At 39.5% G+C, this 26,807-nt stretch overlaps 2 long non-coding RNA genes and 1 pseudogene across 2 annotated transcripts in view, besides 2 other annotated features; 2 read left to right on the forward strand and 1 right to left on the reverse strand.

The window, feature by feature from the left end:
- Window positions 1–271: 271 nt before the first annotated feature.
- Window positions 272–20,325, forward strand: LOC124903720 (uncharacterized). Its single transcript, XR_007065117.1, has 3 exons — window positions 272–354; window positions 1,022–1,103; window positions 20,246–20,325. It is a non-coding gene; the product is annotated as an uncharacterized LOC124903720 (long non-coding RNA).
- LOC390739 (MYC binding protein pseudogene) lies at window positions 11,675–14,200 on the forward strand (annotated as a pseudogene).
- LINC01572 (long intergenic non-protein coding RNA 1572) overlaps window positions 14,336–26,807 on the reverse strand; it is a 384,069-nt gene continuing 371,597 nt past the window's right edge. Inside the window, exons 10-14 of the long non-coding RNA NR_126330.2 lie at window positions 24,604–24,847; window positions 23,884–24,041; window positions 18,813–18,887; window positions 18,006–18,194; window positions 14,336–17,068 (exon numbers count right to left, since the gene is read on the reverse strand). This is a non-coding gene — a long non-coding RNA (long intergenic non-protein coding RNA 1572). The remainder of the gene's footprint in view (window positions 17,069–18,005; window positions 18,195–18,812; window positions 18,888–23,883; window positions 24,042–24,603; window positions 24,848–26,807) is intronic.
- Window positions 18,596–19,241: an enhancer, noted in NCBI's record as "OCT4-NANOG-H3K4me1 hESC enhancer chr16:72319061-72319706 (GRCh37/hg19 assembly coordinates)". NCBI's record gives its function as "activates a minimal SCP1, AML or CMV promoter by ChIP-STARR-seq in naive H9 embryonic stem cells {active_cell/tissue: H9 hESC(naive)}" and the evidence as "EXISTENCE:reporter gene assay evidence [ECO:0000049][PMID:30033119]".
- Window positions 23,947–25,146: an enhancer, noted in NCBI's record as "CDK7 strongly-dependent group 2 enhancer chr16:72324412-72325611 (GRCh37/hg19 assembly coordinates)". NCBI's record gives its function as "activates an origin of replication core promoter dependent on BRD2, BRD4, P300/CBP, MED14 and CDK7 cofactors, with strong dependence on CDK7, by STARR-seq in HCT116 cells {active_cell/tissue: HCT116}" and the evidence as "EXISTENCE:reporter gene assay evidence [ECO:0000049][PMID:35650434]".

A 26,807-nucleotide genomic window follows, 5' to 3' on the forward strand; every position in this document is an offset into this window, starting at 1 on the left:
AGCCATTCTCCTGCCTCAGCCTCCTGAGTAGCTGGGACTACAGGTGCCCACCACCATGCCCAGCTAATTTTTTTGTATTTTTAGTAGAGATGAGGTTTCACCGTGTTAGCCAGGATGGTTTCGATCTCCTGACCTCATGATCCACCTGCCTCGGCCCCTCAAAGTGCTGGGATTACAGGCGTGAGCCACCGTGCCTGGCCAATTTTTTGTATTTTTAGTAGAGACGGGGTTTCACCGTGTTAGCCAGGAGAGTCTCGATCTCCTGACCTCGTGATCTGCCCACCTCGGCCTCCTAGAGTGCTGGGATTACAGGCGTGAGCCACCGCAGGTGGCCGGTTGATGATCTTAATAGAGGTGAGTAGACTTTTTCTATAAAGGGTCAGATAGTAAATATTTTAGATTTCATGGGCCAGTCTCTGTCACAATTACTCAACTCTGCTATTGTAGTGTGCAAGCAGCCACAGATAATATGTAAATGGTGGGTGTGGCTGGGTTCCAGGAAAACTTTATGTATGAAGAAAGGCAGTTGGTCCATGTGCTATAGCTTGCCAACCCCTGATCTTAGTCAAGCCCACCTTAGAAAGTGAAAATAGCTCCAAATTCCTACAGGTCCTGGGCTTCCACCTAGATCTGACAGTGTCAGTCCGTTTTCTTTTCCTTCTTGCCTCCTTCACCTGAGGGATCCTTAGGGAAGACTGATTGCAACCCCTCAGCTAAAACCAAATCAGAAGGAATTTAGAGTTCCCCTGGGAGAAATATTTCCCCAGTATATACTGTTTGGAGAGTGGAGAGAATAGTATGAGATTTCTCTCTCAACATAGATCTTCTTACAGAATAAAGGAGTCAGCGAAGGAGAACTTCCACTTTCCTCTCCCATTGGTGATGGTGAGAGACCTGTGGTGGTTATTAGTCTTGTGCATATAATCAAATCTCAGTGATTCTGGTTCTATATGAATTGTGGATTTGCTCTTATTTTCCTTCCTACCTTTCCTTCCTTTCTTTTGGCCCTTGCATGTTCAAGTGATGCCAAGGAAATCCGAGGAGATGCAGCTCGATCTGTCACATCTTCTGTCTTTGTTAAGGCAGCTCTGATAAAAGGAAGGGTGAGTAGGGGTTGGAATTATTAGCTAACATTGGATTGGGAGTTATTTGTGGATTTAAGTTATTATGTTATTCCTATCTCCTATTTCCATGGAATATTTTGTAAGTTCCCTGTCACTGGTGGAAATGTGAATGAATTGCAGTTTCTTTTTTTGATATGGAACAGAGAAAGACCAAGCCAGTTTCAAAAATCTTAATGTATTGTGAATGCATTAAAAATATTTTTTTTTAAGTTGTGGGTACATAGTAAGTGTATATATTCATGGAGTACATAAGATATTTTGATACAGACATGCAATGTGTAATAATCACATCAGGGTAAATGGGGTATCTATCACCTCAAGCATTCATCATTTGTGTTACAAACAACCCAATTATATTCTTTTAGGTATTTTAAAAGGTGCAATTATTTTTTACTATAGTCACCCTGTTGTGCTAGCAAATACTAGGTCTTATTCATTCTTTCTAACAATTTTGTTTGTACCCATTAGCTATCCCCACTTCTCTCCCACCCTCCCCACTACCCTTCATAGCCTCTGGTCATCATCCTTTTACTCTCTATCTCCATGAGTTCAATTGTTCAATTTTTAGCTCTCACAAACAATTGAGAACATGCAAAGTTTGTCTTTTTGTGCCTGGTTTATTTCACTTAATGTAATGACCTTCAGTTCCATCCATGTTTCAAATTACTGGATCTCATTCTTTTTTATGGCTGAATAGTACTCCATTGTGTATATGTACCACATTTTCTTTCCATTTGTCTGTTGATGGACACTCAGGTTGCTTCCAAATCTTGGCTATTGTGAATAGTACTGCCATAAACATGGGTGTACAGATATCTTTGATATACTGATTTCCTTTGAGTATAAACCTAGGAGTGGGATTGCTGGGTTGTATGGTAGTTCTATTTTTAGCTTTTTGAGGAAACTTCAAACTGTTTTCCACAGTGGTTGTACTAATTTACATTCCCACTAACAGTGTATGAGGGTTCTCTTTTCTCCATATTCTTGCCAGCATGTGTTATTGCCTGTCTTTTGGATAGAAGCCATTTTAACTGGGGTGAGATGATATCTCATTGTAGTTTTGATTTGTGTGAATGCATTTTTTAAATGTTTAATTGGGAACCTCTTCTGATTTGATCCCACTAACATGCTGAGGAACCAATGAATATTTGGGCATGCAAAACACTAAATTTCCCTGCATTTAATTTTGATGTTCAATTTGGAAAAACCAGAAATTTCCTTTAGGTGGATTCAGAATTTTCCTTTGGGTGGGTTCACAAGAAAACCATCTTCCACGATCAGTGTAAATCCTTTAAGGGTGAAGTCAAATAGCTGTACTTCCTTACATCTCTCTGCTGTTTGAGGAGTGGTGTCTGGCTCTGTCTATAGATCTGCTTCTGGAAATATAAAAAGAGTGCAAAATTGCCACAAAGTTTTGATTCATTTTCATTAAAGAATAAGAAGTAAAACTAATGTAATGCCATTTCAGTGGCTTCACAAGGAGAAAGTACATTTTGAGGGTCTCCAGATCACTTATTTGCACAAGTATAGTTAGTCACAAGTACAAGAAAACACTTACAAATTTCTCTCTATCCTGATCAGTGTTTTGTTTTTTTTTTTTTCAGACAGGGTCTTGTTTTGTCACCCAGGCTGAAGTGCAGTGATGCAATCATAGCTCATTGCAGACTCAAACTCCTGGGCCCAAATTATTTTCCCACTTCACTTCCCCAAAGTGCTGGGATTACAGGTGTGAGCCACTGTGCCTGGCCCTGATCAGTCCTTAAACAGGCTAAGGGGATGAGAAAAAGCCATAATGAGCCTTCAAACTTCAACATGAAGCCCAAGACAATAGATCTTTGTCATTGCCAGATTATATGAAACTCAGATAGAATTGCCTGACCACTTCAGTTTGCTGGAGAGCAGATGATATTCAATTCAACCAACTTTTATGGGGTTCCTGCCATTTTCCAATTACAATGCTAGATATGAGGAAGTGCTAAGGTGAATGGGTTCTCATGAAATTCACAATCTATAGGAACAAGAGACCCATGAACAAATAAATTACAACATGAAGGACAAATGCAAGTATAGAGGTATGTTTAAAGTTATAGATGTAGTGTGAATGAAGACATGGTTAAATTTTTCTGGGGAGATAAGAGAAGGCTAGCAGAGGATGTGATTTCGTGGGAGTAGGTGGGCGGGACCTGGGTGTGGGTAAACAAAAGTGAAAACAGGCCTGGAAATAAAGGTTGTATTCTTTTAAAACGGAGTAGCACTGGATGGTCATTTTCTGCTCTTTCCTTTGGGATTGCCACTCAGGACTTTTAACAAAGGAAGGAAACTCAACTAGACCACCTCAGATGTCATAAAGAACACTGACTTGGCACCAGAAGATCTGTACTCACGTCCTAATTCTTCAATTTAACAAGCTTTGTGGCCTTGGAGAAACTGGCTGACATTTTTGAGCTTCAGTTTTCACCTTTGTAAAATGATGCAGTTGGACTTTCCTACTGGTCCTCAAACCTTTGTGTCATGCATTCTATCAACGTTTGAACTCTGTCCTTACCAGCCAGTTTCATCCCCACTCTGATTGCTCCTCCCTCCAACCAAAGAATAAAAGCAGCAAGCAAGAAATCTCCTTTTCCAAGCATGACACTTACATGTTTATAGGCTGTCTATGGCCCTTTTCATAATTTGTGCTTTTCAATTTTTTTTCTGGGATTTAAGTTTTAGAGAATAAATTTTATCATGAATCTATAATTGTTCTAAAAACCTTGCAGCTTACTTAACCTAGTTTGTTTTCCTGCTGATTGAGAATCCTTCTAGCATCTTGCCCCGTGTTCCTCTTGAACACTCAAAATCATGGGCCCTAACTTCATTCATCTACTCCTTTTCCAGTTCAGAAAGCTCAGGCAGGCAAAGTGAAAAAGGGAATAACATGCACATTGGAGCTATAAATAGCAAGTGTACAAATGATTGTAAATACCAAAGGCTGAAGATGTAAGTAGTAATCAAACAGCCTTCCCTTTGGGACAGCTGCAGGAGGAAGTAGTCCAGAGCCTTCAAGGCAAAAAACAGCCTGCAAGCCCAGGTCATAAACCTTCTGTTTGCACTGGATTGTTAGGGGAAAGATTTCTGGTGCCTGGCATTGCATCTGGCCACAGTGGTTGCACAGCAGCTACCGACTGAGGAACAGACAAATGAAGCAGAAGCTCTGGGTTTGACCCTGAGTTTGGCCACTCCTGAAACTTCTCTGCACCCTGGTGTTTTCAAATGGAAGATCAGAAATAATGACTCCTGCTTCACAAGGTTGACGTGAAGATTTCATGTAGATGTTGTTTGAATCCGAGCTTTGGAAAAATATTCAAGAAGTCATGGAGGCTGGACATGGTGGCTCACACCTGTAATCCCAGCACTTTGGGAGGCTGAGATGGGCAGATCACTTGAGGTCAGGAGTTCGAGACGAGCCTGACCAATATGGTGAAACCCTGTCTTTACTAAAAATACAAAAATTAGCCAGGCATGGTGGGACATGCCTGTAATCTCAGCTACTGGGGAGGCTGAGGCAGAAGAATCTCTTGAACCCAGGGGGTAGAGGTTGCAGTGAGCTGAGATTGCAGCACTGCACTCCAGGCTGGGTGATCGAGTGAGACTCTTTCTCAACAAAACAAAACAAAACAAAAACAAATGGTGGAGAATTTCTAGTTGGCTGACTGTAGCTACTCAGGCAGTTAAGACCAGGTTTTCAGTTGTGAGACATCCCAGGAATTTATGTATGTATGTATATGAACATATATATATATATATATGTTCATGCATACATATATATCTATATCTATATATTTATATCTATCTATCTATCTATCTATCTATATATATATATATATATATATGAGAGATCAAAGGCTTGGAAAAAAGGATAAGTAAGGATATGCTATCTAATTGAATAAAATTCTCCAAAATCCTTTTAGATCAGCTAAAACAGGAGGCAAGGAGAAGTAATATTTATTTCTCCTTTTAAGGAAGATAAAAATCCTGATTTAGTTTTCTGAGATTTGGAGTCCCCTTCCATCAGCTTCCCCACAGCCCTGGCTCTCATTCCCCAAAGCAGTAAGAACAGAGTTTTCAGCCTCTACATTGATGATTTATCCCGGTCACAGAGGGGACACCCGGCTAACTGAGGTTAACAGCTTTCTCGGTTTCATTTCAAAAAGACATTAGCATGGAGGCTCAATGAAATGCTGATATGCCAAATACTGATTCATTCACCTGCAGAGTTCACTATAAGGCAGGGACCTATTTGACAGGCAGGGCTGAGCTCCCAGCCTTTTCCTAAAGGGCAATCCCATAATTCATCTCCCAGTGCTAAATTACACCTGACACTTCACTGAAGACTTCAGGTGCACTCACCCAACTGCAATAAGCCTAATGCAGAAGAGGGGTGGAAATGACAAAAGTACTTTTTGAAAATAACATGACTAATTCAATTGTGGGTGGAAATATCTGTGGTGTAAAATATTCCCAGGCAGAATGCACACATTTGTTTTTGTGTTATGGGCAGGTCTTTTCTCTGGCAATGGGGAATCTCTATGTTGTGCATCACTACCTGAGCTACATGCTCCGTCACCTGTCCTTAGATTTGGCCTAGTCACTAAAGAAGCTCCAAGCTTTTCCATCATCTGGGCCTTCCCTACTCTAGTCTCCTTCCAAATTTGCAGGAAAGACTGTTCAAAAGCTATAAAGTCATGTGCTCTTACTGCTCCTCTACAGAATTTTTTGGGAGAGGTTCAAGAATAGGCACAGGGGAAGCAGAAGACCCATCCCCTACATTAAGCAAAGCAGTCAAGCGCTTTAGCATGGCCCTTAACTTGTTATCAGGTTCCAGGGATGCTTTGTTGAAAGAAAAGAACAAAACAAAACAAGACAAAACCAAACCAAACCAATACCTTGACAAGTGAAGCCAACTAGCTTCCTAATGGCCCCATCCAGGAATTTAGTGGGTGCAGGGAGTTGCTGGTCATTTATCTGATGCTGTATGAAGTGAGCACATGAGGCTTTAGCCTGGCCAGAGCTCACAAGAACTTTGGAGGGATAAGGTGAGATGTTTTCTCTGTAACTCAGAAAGTCTTCATTGAGTATGTGCTAGGTGTTGAGGACACTGCAGTGAACAGGCAGACACAGGGGTCTTCTCCCATGGGGCCTCAGGTCTCACTTGGGAGACCTGAACTTAAAAAGAGCTAAGATGATTGACCTGCTGGGCAATGCCCAGCATTTCTTACTTAGGTGCTTAATAAATGTGGAATGAGGCCGGGCGCGGTGGCTCACGCCTGTAATCCCAGCACTTTGGGAGGCCGAGGCGGGCGGATCACGAGGTCAGGAGATCGAGACCATCCTGGCTAACAAGGTGAAACCCCGTCTCTACTAAAAATACAAAAAATTAGCCGGGCGTGGTGGCGGGCGCCTGTAGTCCCAGCTACTCGGGAGGCTGAGGCAGGAGAATGGCGTGAACCTGGGAGGCGGAGCTTGCAGTGAGCCGAGATCGCGCCACTGCACTCCAGCCTGGGCGACAGAGCGAGACTCCGTCTCAAAAAAAAAAAAAAAAATAAATAAATAAATAAATAAATAAATAAATGTGGAATGAAGAAATTGTAAATAGGGTAAAAGCAAATGAGCTAAACATTATTAAGTGCCTTCTCTGTCCCAGATTCTACGCTAGGCCCTTTCCATTACATTATCTAATTCAGCACAAAATGAACAGTTAAAGTCTGGTACATGGCTTCTGAGACAGTCTCTTTCATGGCATAGACATGAGAAACAGTGTTGCTTAGTGGAAAGACTCCAAGACTAGATGTCCACAAAATTTGGGCTTAGTAACTCTGACATTACTAAAGGTATAGTCTTGGGTAAGGATTTGTCCCCACTGAGCCTCAGTTTCCACATCTATAATTCAGGGATGATGATACCTCCCTCACAAGGTGGCCATGAGGAATGGATGAGATGGTGAATATGAAATAGCTTTGATCATAAATAAGATCCTGCTCTCTGTAAAAGGAAAATCATATTTTACCCATCCACTTTTTAAGAGCTCATGTTGCTTCTAAACAATTAAATTTTATATGATTTCAATAATTCTAACAAAAAAATCAGAAACAATATTAAGTTTGACCTGGCAGTTATCAAAATGGTATTTGGAGACTTTTCATCAGAAAGATTCCTATAATAAGCCAAGATTCACATAAGATGATTATTTGCCCTGTTTTCATCACATATTTGGGGAAATTACTGATACCTCAATAGTTACTCACTTAAGTAGACATTAAATTCTTTCTTTATAAATCAATTCTCTTTGCTCCTTCAGCATTTCTGAGTTTCTTTGGATGAATTAAAATTTTGGAGCAACACAGGAGCACAGCATTTCAGTTTTTTTTTTTTTTTTTTTTTTTTGAGACGGAGTCTTGCTCTGTTGCCCAGGCCGGAGTGCAGTGGCAAGATCTTGGCTCACTGCAACCTCCGCCTCACAGGTTCAAGCAATTCTCCTGCCTCAGCCTCCTGAGTAGCTGGGATTACAGGCGCCTGCCCCCACATCTGGCTAATTTTTTGTGTTTCTAGTAGAGACAGGGTTTTACCATGTTAGTCAGGCTGGGCTTGAACTCCTGACCTCAGATGTTCCACTCGCCTCGGCCTCCCAAAGTGCTGGGATTACCGGCGTGAGCCAACATGCCTGGCCTCTTTTTTTTTTTTTAATTAAAAACTTTTTTTTTTTTGTAGAGATGAGGGGTCTTGCTATGTTGCCCATGCTGGTCTTGAGCTCCTGTGTTCAAGCAATCCTCTTGCCTAGGCCTCCCAAAGTGCTGGGATTACAGGCATGAGCCACTATGCCTGGCCTCAGATTCTAACTAAATGAAGAACAACCCTATTTAATGACAGCATGACTTTTTTTGGTTGGGGGGGACAGAGTCTCACTCTGTCACCCAAGCTGGAGTGCAATGTCACGATCTTGGCTTGCTGCAACATCTGCTTCCTAGGCACAAGCCTTCCTCCTGCCTCAGCCTCCCAAGCAGCTGAGCTATAGGCGCACATAACCATGTCCATCTGATTTTTGTATTTTTGTAGAGACAGGGTTTTGCCATATTGCCCAGGCTGGTCTTGGACTTCCGGGCTCAAGCAATCCTCCCATCTCAGCCTTCCAAAGTGCTGGGATTACAGGCATGAGCCACTGTGCCCAGCTGACAGCATGACTTTCAGAGCACTTTCCCCAATTAGTGTTTTAACAATTAAAATGAAAATTGTATGTAACAATTTTTTCTAGTAATTCTTTGTTCTTCTTTCAGTCATTAGAAGAGGTTAAGTATTGCTTATATTTGATTTTATTCTCTACTATTATTAACTCTTTTTGTGCTCTAACTGTGCCTTGGTTTGTGATACTTCCCATGCCAAGATTTGGGAATTCTGTACTTTCATTTTCCTTGCCCCAGATCATTAGTGAAGTGGTTGTGTGATGCCAAAGTGGGCATGGGTCCTCACGAATGCAGTGGACACTGTCTCCCACCTAAATGTGAGGGACCGATATTTGTCACTGCTCTTTGTTTATGGTCCTTAAGCCAATTTTCAATCTATGTGACCATGCACATATTCTACCCAATTTGAATTAATTTTGCAAGTGGAAATTCATGGAGTAGTGTATCAAATGCTTCAGTAAAATCCATATATATTACCTCTAGTGCATTCCCTTCATCCATTAATCTCATAATGCGATTTAAAACAGTGATCATATTTGTCTGGAATGATTTGTCCTTTATCCATCCCCAAAGCTGCCTCCTGCTCTTGGCTCCATTATCCTTTCCATCCTTTCAGTTTTTCCCTCTTCACATCTGATTCATTATACTATTAGACACAGGGGTTATATTTTAATAGATGATAATTACTGGTAACACCTTTCTTTCTGTTTAGAAAGTATTTAAGGTTTTCAAGTAATCTCTAAAATGTGGATTATTGAAAATGTCTACTGACTGTTAAATTTGCAAACAAATGGCTTTAATACAATCTCTTTACTTCAAGTGATAATTCTCAAAACACTTTCCCAGGCCTTATTTTCTTTTAAAATAAGTTTTGTTAAGAACTATAATACAGTATTTAAACTGTCTTTCCTGTTCTGCTTGTTTGAATTGTTTTCCAGTGTCCTATTTCCCTTTCTGCCTGGGAAAGATGTGTACTGTATTATGTAAATTAAGGGTGATAATAAGTATAAAATTATTGCTGTAATACTAATATCATATCTACTATGAATGACTACATTTATTTGCAAAAAAATCTTAGCAAATGTTTCTCTATATGTATTAGATCAATTTGCTTGCCTTATAAACACACTTCTAAACTTTTAGTTTTGGGTAGATTCTTTTTCTGAAGAGCTCAAATGTTATATACCAAATCAGTAAATTTAGGGTAATAGCTAATTCAAAATATAAGATGTTTTCAAAAGAGGAGAGACAGCAGGAATGAAAGGAATAACATAACATAAGAAAAGAATGATAAAGTCAGAGATGCAGGTATGTAGCAGGTAAAAGAGCATGCAATAAGTTGTGTACCTTTAGAAGCCTAAGTACAGGAATATCAGTTATGGTGCTGTGGGGCTTCCTTTCAAAAGATGTAGAGGCTCAAATATAGACTACTTCTTTGAGATCAATTCCTTGACCCACAGTTCCAATGCAAGTAACTTCTCATCTGTCATCATAAACATTGTCCAGCTTTTCCTCTGTGTACAACCAACACTCCACTTAGGAAAGTTAGTGGGAAGGAGGACTCAGAATACTGCTTTTCAACTTGCTGCTCAGTAGGTAAAGGGTGGTGAATGCTGAACCAAGGCCCACAAGGCTATTTTAGCATCTGCTCCTTGGTTACTTACCAAGGACCCTGATAAGATATCACTTACAGAATACATGCAGTGAGAATGGGTCAGTGTCTTATTAAATGATGAGGTGAAATAAACTTTATTCAAGTCAAGATCTTAGAACTTTATATTAAATCAGATTCAATTTAGTAACTTAAATATGTGAGGGTGACTAGTATATTTCAATAGGATAGTCTGTAGGGGTTTATTGAATGCCACTGAAATGCTAATCACAGACTTGGTTCAACCTGTACTCATACATTAGAACATTGAATAGAAGACTGCTATTAGACAATAAAAATGGCTATAAATTTTTTCCAATTTTATCTCCATGTGGATCTCTACTTTCTTCCTCCTATAATAAACAAGTTCATTGTAGATCAAAAATCAACTTGTACCCAAGAAATATGCAGCCTCACATTGATATGTGAATGTCCATTCATTTGAGTAGGAATGGCAAGTATTTATTATTGGGAAAGAAGGGATGCATACAAAATTAAGTGAATATGCATGAATAAGTCCCAATGTTTATGTGACATTAATAGGAAGAAGTTGAGTTACGTCTGAAAGTGTACCTTGCTGTGCACAAGCATCTATGCTTATTCTACATAAAGCATCTGTGCTGAGGACTTAGGAGGCTTTTATTACTAGTGTTCTATTTTTTAAGGAAATATTAACAATCATTTTCAAATACATAGAGTTCTAGGGAGAACATATACATTTTGTACGTGCCTTAAAATTAAATCATTTTTCCTGGCTTTTAACATTTGAATGATAACCTAGATGATGGGTTGATGGGTGCAGCAAGCCACCATGGTACATGTATACCTATGTAACAAACCTGCACGTTCTGCACATGAATCCAAGAACTTAAAAAGTATAAAAAAATTTGAAAGATAAAGCCCTAAAAAAGCTCAGGGTGTGAAGAAAGCCCTTTATCTTCATGTCTCTGCTGCCCCTTTTCCTCATCTGTACTAATGAGAACCTAAAATAAAGAGGTCTGAAATTGGGATATTATTATTATTAGATCGGTAGTGCCGGATTGTGATTTCTTAGGAGGCTGTAAATTGAGAGCTGCGCTGAAAGAGAAGTAGAACAGGTGCACATGGTCATCTCTACTCCTTGAAATATGAAGATCCCATTGATAGGAAATTTGACTCAAGGAAACCTTCAAGCTACTAACTTTAATTTTCTGTTTTAAAGATCATAGTCTATGATCTATGGCTCCCTTATCTTTGAATTTTCCTTCCTCCTCCCTTTGAATATCTAGTGAGCCCTGCTATATGCCAGATACTGGGCTACATGGTGGTAATATAAAGTCTCACAAGCCACGGCCCATGCCTCAGGAATGTGTGCTCCTATAGGAGGGAAAAACGAGTACATTGAAGCAGAGCCAGTGGTAAGTGTTAGGCTGGAGAGGTTGTGGAGTGCTCTTGGGGCACAGAAGAGTGGCAGCTAACTGTATCTAGGGGGAGGTTGGTGAAGTTCTTTAGAAGAAATGATATAGTTTTGAAAGTAAGTAGGAACTAGCTAGAGTAGGGGTTCTTAACCTGTCATCCACTGATAGCCAAGGATAGGGTTCAATGTGTTTATGAATGTTAGATGGGAAAAAAAATCCACCTTTATTTTCATTAATACTGAGCTACAGTTTAGCATTTCCTTCTATTATAAATGTAGAAAACAGGCCAGCTACGCTGCTGTCGCTGTCACTATGGCCCATTACAAAGCCGCCAACTTGAAGCGTGAGCAGTTCCGGAGGTACTTGGAGAAGTCAGGGGTGCTGGACACACTGACCAAGGTGTTGGTATGAAGAACCAGAGAAACCTAACAGTGCTTTGGATTTCTTAAAGCATCACTTAGGAACTGCTACCCCAGAAAATCCAGAAATAGAGCTGCTGTGCCTAGAACTGGCGAAAACGAAAGAGAAATATAAAGCTATTGTAGAAAAAAATAAAAAACTGAAAGCAAAGCTTGCTCAGTATGAACCACCTCAGGAGGAGAAGTATGCTGAATAGGATTCTTCTCAGTTGAAAAGACACTGAAAAATGGTTTTGTATCACTTGAATACTTTGTATAATATATAATCTTTTCCAAACAGATGCTATAGAACTCTTTTAATATGTTTAATTCACCTACCACACTCTGTTATAAACACATAGAATCATCAATAAAAACTCAATATAACTTTCTTTGGATTTTAAAGCAGGAGAATCCAAAGTAAATCCTGAAAACACCCTAAACATAGCCATCTAACTCCTTACCTTAAAAGCCATTCTGTTCATTAGTCTGATTAGGAATGATGGCACTGGTTGTGTTTTAGCCAAGGCAGTTTAGCATGGAGCTATTCCTTGGTGTAGTTCAGGATATGAACATAGGTACAGTCATTCTTTGAAGGTGATATACTGTTGTGTACATTCCCTATAGGCAGCTGGAGAGATCTGTGTGACACAAGATGCTTTTGTACAGGTTCCCATGAATCTTCTGCTCTTGTTTGTGTAACATGGAACAAATAACTCTTCTTTGCCACCACTTTGCCTTAGATAATTGTGTGTGTGTGCCAGTTTGAACTCTGATACCACATTTTCCTTCTGTGCAATCATGCCTTGTTTGATAATCTTGCATTGCTTTGCTCTGAGCTTTAGTGGGTCCTACTTACACACTGACTTTTCTATGCTGTTTTTCAATTTGCCTAATAACAGCAGTTACCCTGATTGTAATTTATGCAACTTTAAACAGGATCACACTGTACCCCCTGCCTGCCTTATTTGCTTATTGAGCACAGAACAGAGGCAATATACAACTCTGAGTTCACACACAAGCTGGGATAAGAAGAGGAATGAGCCATATATTGTGGAAAATCATAGTTTGTAGGTATAATTATACAGTGCTTGTTTCCCTCAAAGTATTTTTGTAGCCCTGAATTCATTTTATCTTCATTATCCCTGTGAAGTAGGTGTGGGCAAGTATGAGGGGAAGTTGGGTGCTGAATTTTTAGGCCAAAGACTGATGTTAATACAAATCACTCACTAACTGTAGAGCCTTGGGCATATCAGTGAACTGCTCTGAGATTTACTGTCTCCATCTGGTTAATGAGAAGAATATCCGTGATGCCTACCTCACAGGGCTGTTGTGAGGGTCAAATGAGAATGTATGTGAAAGATATGTAAATGGTAAAGCACTATATTCTTGTTTGTGAGTCCTTTTTCCTTTCTTTGGGTAGACTTACAGTCGGATGTTTTGTTTTATTAATCACTTATTTTCCTTATTGATAGACCATCATTTTATAGACATATTCCTATTGCATGTATCCTCTCCCTGTTGTTAGAGAACGTATCTTTGTTTTTGGTCAAAACACACATATAAAACAAAATGATCCAATGAAAACTGGTTTAACTAGCAAAAGCCTTTGCACCTGTTGGAAACTATGACCAAGTCAATTACAAGGGCATTTAAATCAGTCGTGTTAGTAGGAATGTGGCAATGACTGGTGCCTCTTCTAGTCACAAGTTTGCTTTTGGAGGGGGGCCAGATAATATTGGAAGAATATTCGCTTGAATAGATTTCTCTTTTACCAATTTGAGTGCCTCCTACATGGGCAGCAGTGGACTAAGTGCTGGGTGTGATAAAGAGGAATGACTTAATTATGAGACATGTATATAATCAAATACAGTATGGGTTAGGACCTGTGACAAACCATTATAATAAAACATGGCCCCATGAGGGTTTTGAAAGAGAGACAGATTTGGCTTCTTTAGTTGGTAAGATAGTTTCTTGGTAGATACAGGTCGAAATTTTTCTTTCTGTGGCAGCCAATTCTCATGTGCTTTTTACTTATTGGATTAATATTAATATTTATGTCAGTAAGCCAGGTGACTGTGACTGTCTTTTGTACCATCCTTTTTAACAGAATGGCAACATGTGGGTTGGATAATCACACTTTTAGGTGAAACTGACTTGGTTAAACTGCGTACCAGTCAGTGCTATTTGAGAATTCAGGATCAACCTAGCCTACAGAGGTCCTCTTCAGCATTTCTGTCAAGGATTTGGATTAAGACAATACACAAGAAGATGCTTGATGGAAGAGAAAATGGATCTCATCAGTTAAGCTCCTGCTACGCTTCAGCTTCTTTGTCTATAAAGTATTGACTTCACATCTTGCCTACCGCACAAGGTTGTTGTAAGAATCAAATTAAATATAATGGATGTAAAAGTGAAAAAAATAAATGTAGAAAATAAACTACCGTAATATTAACGTTAGTGACAATGTCACCAATAGAAACCATAGCTACATATCAGATACTGTAGATATTTCAAAATATCCCTTATGCTCATCACTGCTTTAAAATTATAGTAGTACACCAACCACTGGGCTTTATTAATGCATTAATAGAAACTATCCATATTATCATACCAAATATTGGTGTTAATATTTAATTGATTTTAATATTTTGATAGCTGAATTTCAATATAAATTGAATTTCTTTGTAATTCTACATGCTTTATTCTTTATTTTATATATTTAAAAGCATTATACTAAGAAAGGTCCATAGGCTTTAGGTCTATGGCAGATTGGCAGTGGGGTCCATAACACAGTGAAGGTCAAGAACCCCTGAATGGGGAAGAGGTTGGAGAAGGGGTGCTAGTTATTCCAGGAAAAGGAAAAGCCTCATGGATGTTTCAAATTATACATAATGTGTCTTTAAGGCAAATGTTGATAGGTATGAAGACAAAATATGTACACAATTGTTTTGTGAAACATAGTGAGTAATATATACTCACCATGTTTTCATAGGAACATGTTGCTGGGGAGCAAAATCATTAAGCATATTAATAGCTCACCCAGAATTTCTGAAGCTGACAATAAAGGTCCATCATGACATCAGACTCTGCAGCAGGTTGTGCTGTGATAAAAGCCCAAGAAAGATGCCTGAAATACTTATTTGCTACTTTTTCTTATGTGGTTAGAATGCTAAGGATCGTCTAAGAGCAACCAACATTTGCGTTACATGCATTGTAATGGTTATAATAGGTACTGGAAATACAGAGTATGCTAAAAAGTTATCAAACATTAACAGAAGCAGCAGTAGCTGTGGAAAGAGTACTTGACCAGGAGTCCTTAGCTTCAGGCCACAGCTTCAAGTCTGACACTAATATCTGTGTCACCTTGTGCATGTTTTATTATTGGTAAAATGAAGATAATGACTTCTGCTCTAACTTATCTTGTAAATTGCTCTAAAGATCAAATGAGTATGTCAAGATGCTTAGAAAGGTTTGAAACATAATACATGTTATTAAAATGGAAATAAAGGTGAAATATCAATATTATAACACTTTATGTTTTGAATATAGAAATAAAGTGAAATTTTCTATCATTGTATTATAAAATACATTGAAGAGGAAACCTTTTAGACAGATAGAATTTTAAAGATCTCTATATGTATAAAATATAAAATGTAAATGTAGCATATGAAATATCTATAACATAAGAGTTAAATTCTTACAAGACTGTAGACAATGAAACGTGTTATCTGAAGCCATTAGATAACTCCATAATAAAATCACTTTCTTAGGGCTGGCAACAAGCTTTCAAATATGACTTGTAGCATAAGACAGCAGTGAATTTACGTATGTGCTATTTAGATTTAGTGGCACTAAGATCACAAGGACATACACATTTAATTAGTGGAGTACATTCAATTCTAAAATTTAGATCACTTTCTCCAAATAAGCTTGTTCTTCGTAGGAATCATGCAAGCAAATGTTGACAAATATTGCAAACAATGAGAGAAAGACATGAATCTTAAGATTTTTCTTCCTAAAAAATCTATTCTTATTAAGATGCTTTTCATTATAACCTAGCAGAGCAGGATTTAAGTACCAACCTGAGTCTTCTGTTCTCTAGGTCAATGTTGAAAGTTTATTTCTACAGTAAAACACACGTCTCACATTCTTGGTGTTGCCATATAAATCAAACAAAGAGAACTGCATTCCAATTCTCTCCATTATTACAGAAGCATACAACTTACTAACCAGAACATTCTTCCAATTTTAGTTTGAAGTGTTTTTCAACTTCAAGTATGCTTGGAAAATTATTAAGCCAAGGCTATTGTGATTATACCTGTTAGACTTTTATTCTATATAAATTATCTAAGCCAAATGGAGTCCAAAATACTGACCCTTGACTGCCAGTTAGAATAGTCCCTAATCCTCAATCATGTGCTAAAAGAGACAAATGAGCTAGATTTGAGTTTGAAAACTACCACCTCTGAATAAAAAAAAAAAATGAAGCTGAATATGCATTTTGGAAAGACACAGTTAATGCAAATGGTAGAGAAATGTGGAATACTATTCTAAACTGCTTGTGTTCACTGCTTCCCGAGTACAGACACTTGCACCAAGATACAGAGACACACACTTATTAACTCACACGTATGGATCAGAATGACTAAACATTTTAAAATCAGGAAAAACAAAACCCAGTAGATTCTGCCCCACAGTCTGTATAGTGCACACACACCCACTAATACACACCCTTGACCAGTGTAAGATCCAGAAGTGCTTAAACAATTTTGTAGGCATAAATTACAAATTAATGAAACCTGCCGAAGGCAGACACGTAAAGACACAATGTTCAAGATATAAGCATTGAAGCAAGGCAGACACCTGAGAAAAACAGTCAGAAGTTCCCAAACTGAAAAGATTGTATCCTGGACATCCAAGCAGATGAAGGATTCAGGGCGAACAGATTTGTATCCTGGCACCAGAGCAGATGATGGGTTTAGGGACCGCAGCGGTCCCTAAAGACCATTCCCTCTAGCATCCAAATTTCTAAAAATTAAAGCTTAATGGTTCCAATTCTTTATAAGGTTGTCCTTTCAGTGGGCAAAGCATTGATCAGTGGTCTCAGTCTTGCCAGCTGGCTTCAAGGGCTCTGCCCCCAACAGTTCCTCCTCAGCATCCTTTCTTTTTCCATTCTCTTGAAGAAGGGATGCTCTGTTCACTTCACGTGGGCTTAGATTTATGAGGTGCTGAGAAACAAGAGTGTGGGGCCCTTCAAGTTGTACTCCCAGATGTAATACTGCAAGTGAGCCAACACAGGATCTTAGCATTGGCTAACATGTTTGTTCTACAAAGCTTGTTTGTTACTGGATCCAAACGGATGCCCCAGTCAAAGCAAAAACAAAGCAACAACTAAAAACGTCTTCCCTCATTGCCCCCCAAATAGCCCAATCCTTTCTGAGTCCAGGCTCCTGAATGCACATGAAACTGTGTAGCCTTGGCTGGGGGATCATCACTCCCTCCTCAGCTGGAGGCTGCATTCAGAAAGAATGGATTTTTTCCGGCTTCTGATAGTCTGAGATATTGTGCCTGTCACTCAGAGGCTGAGCAAAATAGGGTTCAAAACAGAGAACAGAGATGTATAAACAGATGCAAGACAGTGAGAAGAGTGTACCAAGTACGGAGACGAAAGAGATTGGTATCAAGCCTTACCCTGGGATGGGCCACTCTCTCTGTGTCTGTAAGAAGCTCCTACGCTATTTTAATTATAAATATTTATATCCATGGAAGCAAATTCAGAAGGATTTATATCCCAGGGGAGTGCAGATCAATAGATCTAAGCAAACCTCATCTCCAGGCTGACCACTTAACACTGTTATCACCGATTAGGGCTACTTGGCCCTCTGGGGGGGTGTCAGTTCCCCTCTTGTCCTGCATAGGTCCACCCCATTCTTGGCCCCAAGAGGAAATCAATAACAGGATGCAGGGATCGATACACAGGACATCTGCTTGGCTGCAGTGGCTCACCTTAAGATCGCAGTTTGGTTAGCCCTTGTCTATACCGCAAGCCCCTACTCCTTCCTCCAACCCCTCCATCCTTCCAGATCTGCTGGAGCATTCCAATTTTGATCTTTAGCTCACTCACTGAAATCGGCCCAGATACTGCTGACTCTCTTGAGCAAGAAATAAAGACTTGGTTAACATTTGCCTTACTTTCCAAAAGTAAAGAAACTTACCAGACCTCAAGGATTGAGTCAGAGTCGATTTCCTGCTTCACGGCCCGGGGCATGCTTTCTGCTGCCGACTCTCTGGCCACCAAGTACTGTCGGAGCAATTGGAGCTGGCTGGGTTACTGTTCCAGGTTTGCCTGCGTCTCCCTGTGCTTGGTCTGCAGTTGATAGATCCTCTGCTCCTGAAGCATCCAGCTATTGACCCGCCCAGGGAAAGAAAGAAAAAAATGGAAAAAAAAATCAATTAATACTAACCGGCTTAACAAAACCCTGCATAGCACAGGCCTGGAGCATACAGGGTAGGAATTGGGATGGTCTCAGTGGCAACAATGAGTGTGGGGACAGGCTCAGCCAGCTAGAAAACCTGATGTTCCAGGGACAGGAAGCCAATATGGTAGGCGTGATCACACACACACACATATTCTCTCTCTCTCTCTCTCTCTCTCTCTCTCTCTCTCTCTCTCTCTCTCTCTCTCGGCAGCTTGGTCTGACATGCCCTAGTCTGACAGCAAAGAGGACAGTGCAGGTACATGTTCATTGTGAACTGGTGGAGGGTGACACATTCACCAAAACAGAAGAAGGGCTGCAACCAAACTCATAGAACCGGTGGATATTTTTGTTTTCTGGGGTTTTTTTTGGGGGGGCGGGGGTGGAAGAGGAAGAGATATTGTTTTGTTCTGAAAAGATAATACCATTTACGTGTCGCAGGAGAGTTCCTGAGGCATTTCTTCGTGCGTCTCCCTATCACACCACCACATACAGACACACATGAAGCTCTTTAAAGGGGAGCAAGAAAATGGGGGCACACCATACCTCAGCTGCCAGGCCCTCTCTCTTCTGCAGGAGCTGGCTTTGAAGGCTTGGGATTCTTGCATCTCGCTATTCCAGCTGTAAAGAGTTTACATAGGGAGGGAGCAAGGAAGGATCATGAATGTCAACCAATGAGCAATTAGCATGACAAGACTAAAGTATTGATCCCCTAAAGCTCCCTGCACTGCTGTAGCCCCAGAGGTAGAGCGGCTCCCTTGTCACTAACTCCGATAGTGCATTTCGGAAGCCTGTATTGTAGGACTGGCTACTTTTTGTATCCCCGATCCCCTTCTCAGGGCAGGGGAGTATGGCACCTTCAGGCTGCCCATCTGCAGCTATCAGAGTAGTCTCCATCCCTGGGCAGAAAGCTGCAGAGAAGAGCATAAAGAATGTAAAGATTTTGGCTGTCCTACTTTATTCATTTTTTTAAAATGCGGCTCCCTCCTGATGGCACCAGGCATTTCTAACTATTGATTGGAAAAGGGCTAGGGCGAAATCCTGGCCTGACAGCTGGGGCTGGAACTACTGTGGTTTTCCATTCTGCGTGGTCAGAGGCAAAGTGACTTTCACAATACCAACTTCCGGCCAATCCAAATACACACTTACTGTGCACATAGTACTCATTTTAGTCAGTAAGGGTCAAGAAGGGAGAGGGAAAGACGTTGTTTCACTGAAGAGACAACCTTATTCCTAGGTGTAAGGCTATCATACATCGAAAGAGAAAATGAAGGAATTTTCAACTTAGCAGACATGGTGTTCAAATAACACTAGCCAGGTGAAATATTACCTCTGTAAGGTTCTTCATTCTTGCCATTGATTCCCACCTTTGTTACTCTCAGCTATAGGCACACTCGCCATTGATTCCCTCCTTTGTTACCCTCAGCTATAGGAACACTAACCTTTCATCATTTTTTCTACTTTTTCCCCTATCCATCCCATGTCTTTACAAATTTATTTCTTAAGTTGCCCTCCTAATTTCTTTTCATACCCTTCTTTAAGGACCCCCTAGCACTCCATCTCCTTCATGAAATCTCCCAAGCAGTGGTAATTATTCATTCCTGCGTGAGCTTCTACTTGTGCCAAAAACTTCTCTAGCAGTGGGGATATCATAATGAACAATATGGTATGGTCAATATACTTAAAGATATGGTCATTATACTTAACATATGGTCATTATACTTAAAGATATGGTCATTATGGCCATTGTATTTAAAGAGTTTACAGACTAAATGAATAATGAGCCATTCATTGATAGCAAAACCATCCATCCACCCACCCACCCACCCAACCACCCAGCCAGCCATCTATTCATTGATACATTCAATTTGTGCTTATCAAGAACTTCCTATTACCAGGAACTATTCTTTGCTAAAAATAAGATGGTGTGGCAGAGACTTGAATGCCTGCTGATAATCATTTTCTCCTCTTCTTCCCAGGCTCACAGATAATCTGTATTTCCCAGCTCTTTTACAATGGGGCCTTATGACTGAGCTCTGGCCAATGGAATGTAGGTGGGAGAGATGCATGCCTGGCCTGGCTCATAGAAACCTTCCTCATGGCCCTTCCTTCTCCTCCCTTCCAATGTGACTCTTGACGGTGACATGCTGAAGATGGGCGTGCAACCTGGGTCTTTGGGGATCCAGTTGGAGAAGAGTGCCCTGATCCACTTTGGACTATGGTGAAAGGAATCCAATTTTAATGTTGTTAAACAGCTGAGATTTTAGGATTGTTTATGTTAGTGTGAGTGTAGAAGCTAATGTTACTTTTACTGACTAACAAAAACACAAAGCAAAAACAGATGTAGCCCCTGCCTTCACAGAGCCTGAAGCCCAGTGGGTGAAAGAGACATTAATAAAATAACTACAAAAATAAAAGTAAAAACACAATTGTGATAAGTATAATAAAGGATAGGTATCTGAGGAAACAAACACATGAGCCAGAGGAAACTCAACCTAGACAACTGTCATGATGCAATTATGTTGAGATATGAAGGGTGAGTCCTGAGAGAACACAGGGGTGTTCCACTAAGAAGGAACAGAATGTGGGAAGTTGATATGGTAAGGAGGAGTAAGGTACATTCCAGAAACCAAAAAACCCCAGTATGAGTAGAACACAGAGAATGAGAAGGATATGATGCAACGTGAGACTGGAGAAACAGGTATGGACCCAACCATTCAAGGCCTTATAGATTATAGATTTCAGTGTCTGTCCTAAGATCAATGGGGAGCCATTCAAGAGTTTTATGCAAGGCTGGTGACAAAATCTTATATTTTAGACAGGTCTCTTTGGCTGCAAGCCTGAAGAATGAATTGGTAGTTCTATCTCCAGCCATATGGTGGCTATGCCAGATAACTCAAAAACCCTTCCACCAGAAAGTTAAGATATTTTGAATAAAATGGAACACACATTAAGTATAGGGCTAAGCTTGCAAGTAGAAAACTCCCCAAATGCCAGGTCCAAAGAGGGAACTGAAACAAAATCAGTAAGCTGTGGGATGTGTATCTGCCTTGAGGAGCACTGCTCAGGCTCAGTGACTACAGGGATTAGGTTTTAGTACTCACATGGGGACAAGGGTCCATGAAAATTAGCAAGGGGAAACTGAATCCTCACATAAAACTAGACCCTTAAAAAGATGGCCTAAGGGGCAAAAAATCCATCTATTGTCACAACAATGCTTGTCTTTTCATGGTGCATAGGAAGGAAACAAGTGTCCTTTGAGAATCTGTGACTATGCTTTACAAGGTAAGGGGATTTATAGTTACTATCTACCAAATTGAGAAACCTCTAAGCTGAAAAATTAAAATCAAACTTAGTCTCAGGCCAGGAATATCCCTGTGGCATTTGGCAGGAGCAAACCCAAAATGCTCTGGAGAGCCACATTTTCACAGAGGGCACCTAGAATTCCTGTAAATAAAGCCCTGTTGAGGATGTACCCACACATTACAAACTAAAGACCAAGAGTGAATGTAGATAAAGCAAATAGCAGATTTATACCTTTGAGAACTTCAGGTGACAGAACAATCTGGTAGAAACTGCAAATAAGTATGCTTAAAATGATTAAAGACATAAAGAAAAGTGTCATGCAAAAATAGCAAAGCGTTGTGGAAAAAAAAAAGAGAATAAACTAGAGGAGGATAAAAACCATGCATTCAGATCAAGAATGCAACTTTAGGCTGGGCATGGTGGCTCATACCTGTAACTCCAGCACTTTGGGAGGCCAAGGTGGGAGGATCACTTGAGGCTAGGAATTTGAGACCAGCCTAGGCAACATAGTGAGACTCTACCTCTAAAAAAAATAAAAAAATAAAAAATAAAAAAATTACCTGGGTTTGGGGGTGCACCTCTGTAGTCCCATCTACTCAGGAAGCTGAGAGGGGAGGAGTGCTTGAGCCTAGGATGTTGAGATTGCTGTGAGCTATGATCATGCCACTGTACTCCAGCCTGGGCAACAGAGCGAGACCCCCATCTCAAAAAGAATACAACTTCTTCCCAAATGTGTAGGACTCCTGGTATGATATCAGGATTTAGGAAGCAATCATACTTTTTTCTTTTCTCTCTTTCTGTTAAATATGTTATTTATATGGGACAAATCTCTCACTTGCTCTGTCAGTGACATCAAATATATAAGGGCATAATGACGGCTCCAAAGCAAGAAACATTTTCCATATTTAAAACTGATGATCAGCTCATAAGACATTCTCTCTGTTATGATTGTTCCAATGTCTCATAAAGGAAAATATCATCTCAGTGTGATTTCTTTGCTTCTTTGCACTGTTCAGCTCAATGTTCTCTTTCCAGCTGGGCACAAATTGAGGACACTGGCCTTTTCAATGGTGGGCAAAAAGCCATAATGGGAGGGAGGTGGCAAGCATCAAAGGAAAGCTCAAAATAAGGAAGGCTCGTTATTTTATCAGAAACTAGTTTTTCTTGTTACTGTTTCAAAAATTATTCTCAGGCCTCACAAAATAACTGAGAATAAGTAATGTACTAACATTAAGAGTTACCCAGTCAGCCTGAGCTGGTACTCTGGATGGACCAAATGCTAGAATATTTCTTTACAGACCCAGGCTAAAGTTGTAGTGAGGGTTTTTGGTAGTGGAGAGACTTAGATGGAACTAGATGATTCCAAGCTCAGCTGGAATCAGGTCAGTTTCATTCACTTGTGTCTTTTGAGACATTTATCACCATCACCATCATCATTATCTTTTATTGAAGTTCAACTATCTGCCAGACCACATGTTATTTCATCTTATTGTCAGAAAACCTCTGCAGAGTGGGCACTAATATCCCCACTTCTTGGATGAAAGATAAAGAAAAATGAAATGACCCAAATATTCTCATCTTATATTAAAACCAGGGATAGGATAAATGCCCTTAGCCCTCCTTAGCAGGTTTAAATAGAGACAAAGTCATTCAGAGCCCTAAGAAGAGCAGGTGCTAATACAGAACTTCTTTCTTTGCATGGCTTCAAAGCAAGTTGTTCTAAGCAGCCAAAATGAGGTAACTGAGCTCAACCACATTCATCTGTCTTCCAGCAGTGAATGCAGATTTACCAGGTAGGAGACAGATACTTGAGACAATAACGATTTGCAAAATTTGGTGTATCCAGTGGGGCTGCTTTCAATCAGGGCTGCTGATGAAAAGGTCAGGTTATCTGAGCCCCACTTATTTCTTCCCCACTCTAACATCCCACCTATTCACAGAATCTGCTTGTTGTTCCTCCAGATGTGTCCTGGTCTATTCACATCCCACCACCCCAAGACCATCCTGTTCCAAGCCACCATCAATCATAGCATGTCCCAGAAGCCTGCTAAAGGGCCTTCCTGCCTCCACTTTGCACCTTACAATCAGCCCTCCCCACAGCAGCCAGCTCCATCTTTTACACTGAAATCAGATAATGCCACTCCCTCACTCAAAACCCTCCAAGGGCTTCCCATTGCACTTTGACTAAAATCCCACCTCTTTGTCAAGGTCTACCCAGCAAGGTCTACCCCACCTCTTGTCCTTTAGGTGTTTGCTCAAATACCATTTTCTCAGAGACTACGCACCTCAGAGGCAGTCCCCATCACCTTACCCTGTATGTTATCTTGCTTTTGAACAGTAGATCTCAATGACCAAGCACAGTGCCAAGCACAAGGACACTAAGTAATATTTATAAGAATGAATAAGTGAATTCCATATCTTCATTGACATCCATGACTTCTGAGACAGAAGAAATGAGACACCTGAGGACTAAGAAAACTTACTATTAATTGGTCTGCCCTGGAAAGAAAGTATTTGACCTGTTGTCTCAAGATAGATAATTTATGTAAGGAAATCAGAATAAATACTATTTTTTATGTGTAACTATGGGTGAAATTCAACTGATACAAATAAAAGTCTGGACTAGTAACTATTTTAGCTTACTATTTATGAAGTTGCAGTATTTATAATTACGTTTATATCAATATAGTATTTTCTACTTTCAAAAGCGCTTGATTAAAAACAACTTTATGAAGGATACAGATATTATTCTCTGCATTTTACCGATTTTAAAAAGTGCTAACAGTACTATAGCCAGTGAGTATCAGGTCACAATATGGCCTGGCAAAACTGAAGGCCCAAAGACTAACCTTATGAGGATATTTTCACTTATGTCACACTGGGAAAAGGACAGATAGGATACACAGAGGAAAGACTTTTGTTTAGGGTGGTATATGATGTTTCTGTAGGGTGGTGTATTTGTTTCCTAGGGTTGTCATAACAAATTACCACAAACTGGATGGCTTGAAACAACAGAAATGTGCTTTCTTACAGTTTAAGAGGCTAGATGTCCAGAATCAAGGTGTTGGCAGAGCTATGCTCTCTCTGAAGGCTTTAGGGGAGGATTTTTCCCTGCCTCTTCCATCTTCTGGTGGCTCCCGAAATTCTTGGCATTTCTTGGCTTGTGGCAACATCACTGTAGTCTCCGCGTGTCCTTTCTTCTTCTTATAAGGATATCAGCAGTCAGATCTAGGACCCATCCACATCCAGTATGATCTTATCTTAACCAATTACATCTGCAAAGACCAAATAAGATCACATTCTGAGATTCTGGGTGGACAAGAATTTTGGGGGGACATTATTCAACCCACTACAGATGGGCAGTATGAAACTGTAAACATCACCTTCCTGTTCATCCTCAGTTTCTGTGTGTTCTTTAAAAGAACAGGGATCCTATATATTTTCTCCTTGCATTTTGTTCTCTCCCCTGCCTGTGACTCATACTCACTGGCTCTTATTCCTGTCTCTTCCCCTTCCAGTAATATTTCTGTAACATTCTGTATGGATGAATCACACACACATGCACATTATGAATCCATGCAACAGTACAACTTGGTTTTCATTAGAAACTTTTCTAGGATATGGATTCCAATGATGTTCCAAAAATCAGATAATTAAATTCTAGCTAGAAGCATAATAGCTCTTAGGCAGAAGAGCAGCCAGTGATTACAGGCTGTGGTAAAGGAAGTCTGGAGGAACAGTTCATCAATAGCTGAGTCATAGGGTTCCTATGATTGTTTCAATGAAGCATTTAAGGTTTATAGTCTTTATGATAGTCTTTCTCATGCCAAAGGAAAGTATACTTAAAAGATAATGACTTATTTTAGAATCTCTTAGTACTAAGCCGTTTTGAGCTCCATTTCACAAGCTCTATTTCAAGTGAATGTTTACATAGTGTTCATAGCTATGGTCTTCATATTGTAGCATCATATGTTCATAGATATTGTGGTCTTTGACAATCTCTCCTGTTATCTATTTCATTTTCCTTCCCTGGTTACAAGGAAAGCTCATACCTATAAATAATCATTTATGTTTTCTTTTCTCTGCTTGCAGTTTTGACTAGCTTATTGTCTCACTGAATATGGCTCTATTCAGTTCCTACTGATATGAAGAGACTATCGCTAAAGATTTTTTTTAACCTATCAGAGGAAGTTCCTGGATCTCTGGCCTTAAAATCCTGTCTCTATTTATTCTTGAAGAAAAAAATTAGAAAGAAAACATGATATTATGCCTTGCACATAGTAGGAATTCAATCAATATTTATTTCATTTGGAAATTGACAGCAATATTTTGATTTAAGTTGTACTAGACGAATAAATACAAATGGCATTCACTTGATGATGGCAAAATGGTGCCGGGACAACATCCAACAATGCATCAAATGTTCCACAATAAATTCAGATAAATAAAAATACTACAAATAGGCCCATAAAATTACTAGAAGAAATAATGAGAGAATTTTTTAAAATAATGTTGGATAGAAGTCTTTTCTAAATATAACACACAACCCAGAAGTCAAAACATAAGGATTTATAAATTCATCATCATAAAACTAAAACAAATTTCTATATGAAAAAAATCATCATAAGTAAACAGAAAAATGACAAACCAGGAAAAATTTATAATTCATATAACAGACAAAGGGCTAATTTCTATAACATATGTATAAGAAGCTCCTATAAATCAATATATAAAAGTCTAATAACCTAATGGAAAACAGGGAAATAGTTTATAGGAAAAGAAATAAAATTACTTTTAATCATATTAAGGAAACAATCTCACTCACAGTAAGAGAAACACAAATTAACTCCACACTGAGATACCGTTTTGTATTTAATATATTTGCAAAACCCCCAAACTATTGATAATACAATGAACTTGTGAAGGTGTGGTAAAATAGGTTTATTTCATACATTAATGGTGGAAGTGGAAAGTGGCACAAACTCTATGGAATGCAATTTTCCAAGACCCACTAAAATTACATGCAGCTACCCTTTTACCTAGCAAGTCCAGTTCTATGAATTTATCCTACAGATATGCCTGCACGCATGTAAAATGGCACATGTAGAAGGCTACTCATTGCAGTTTTGTAATGAAAAAAGATTAGAAACTACTTAAATGGCCATCAGTAGGATGCTGGTTACATTAACAATGGTTTGTCCACACAACGGGATATCATGAAGCTATGAAAACGTT

This window comes from Homo sapiens, chromosome 16 (genome assembly GCF_000001405.40).
Source record: "Homo sapiens chromosome 16, GRCh38.p14 Primary Assembly".
Classification (NCBI taxonomy): domain Eukaryota; kingdom Metazoa; phylum Chordata; class Mammalia; order Primates; family Hominidae; genus Homo; species Homo sapiens.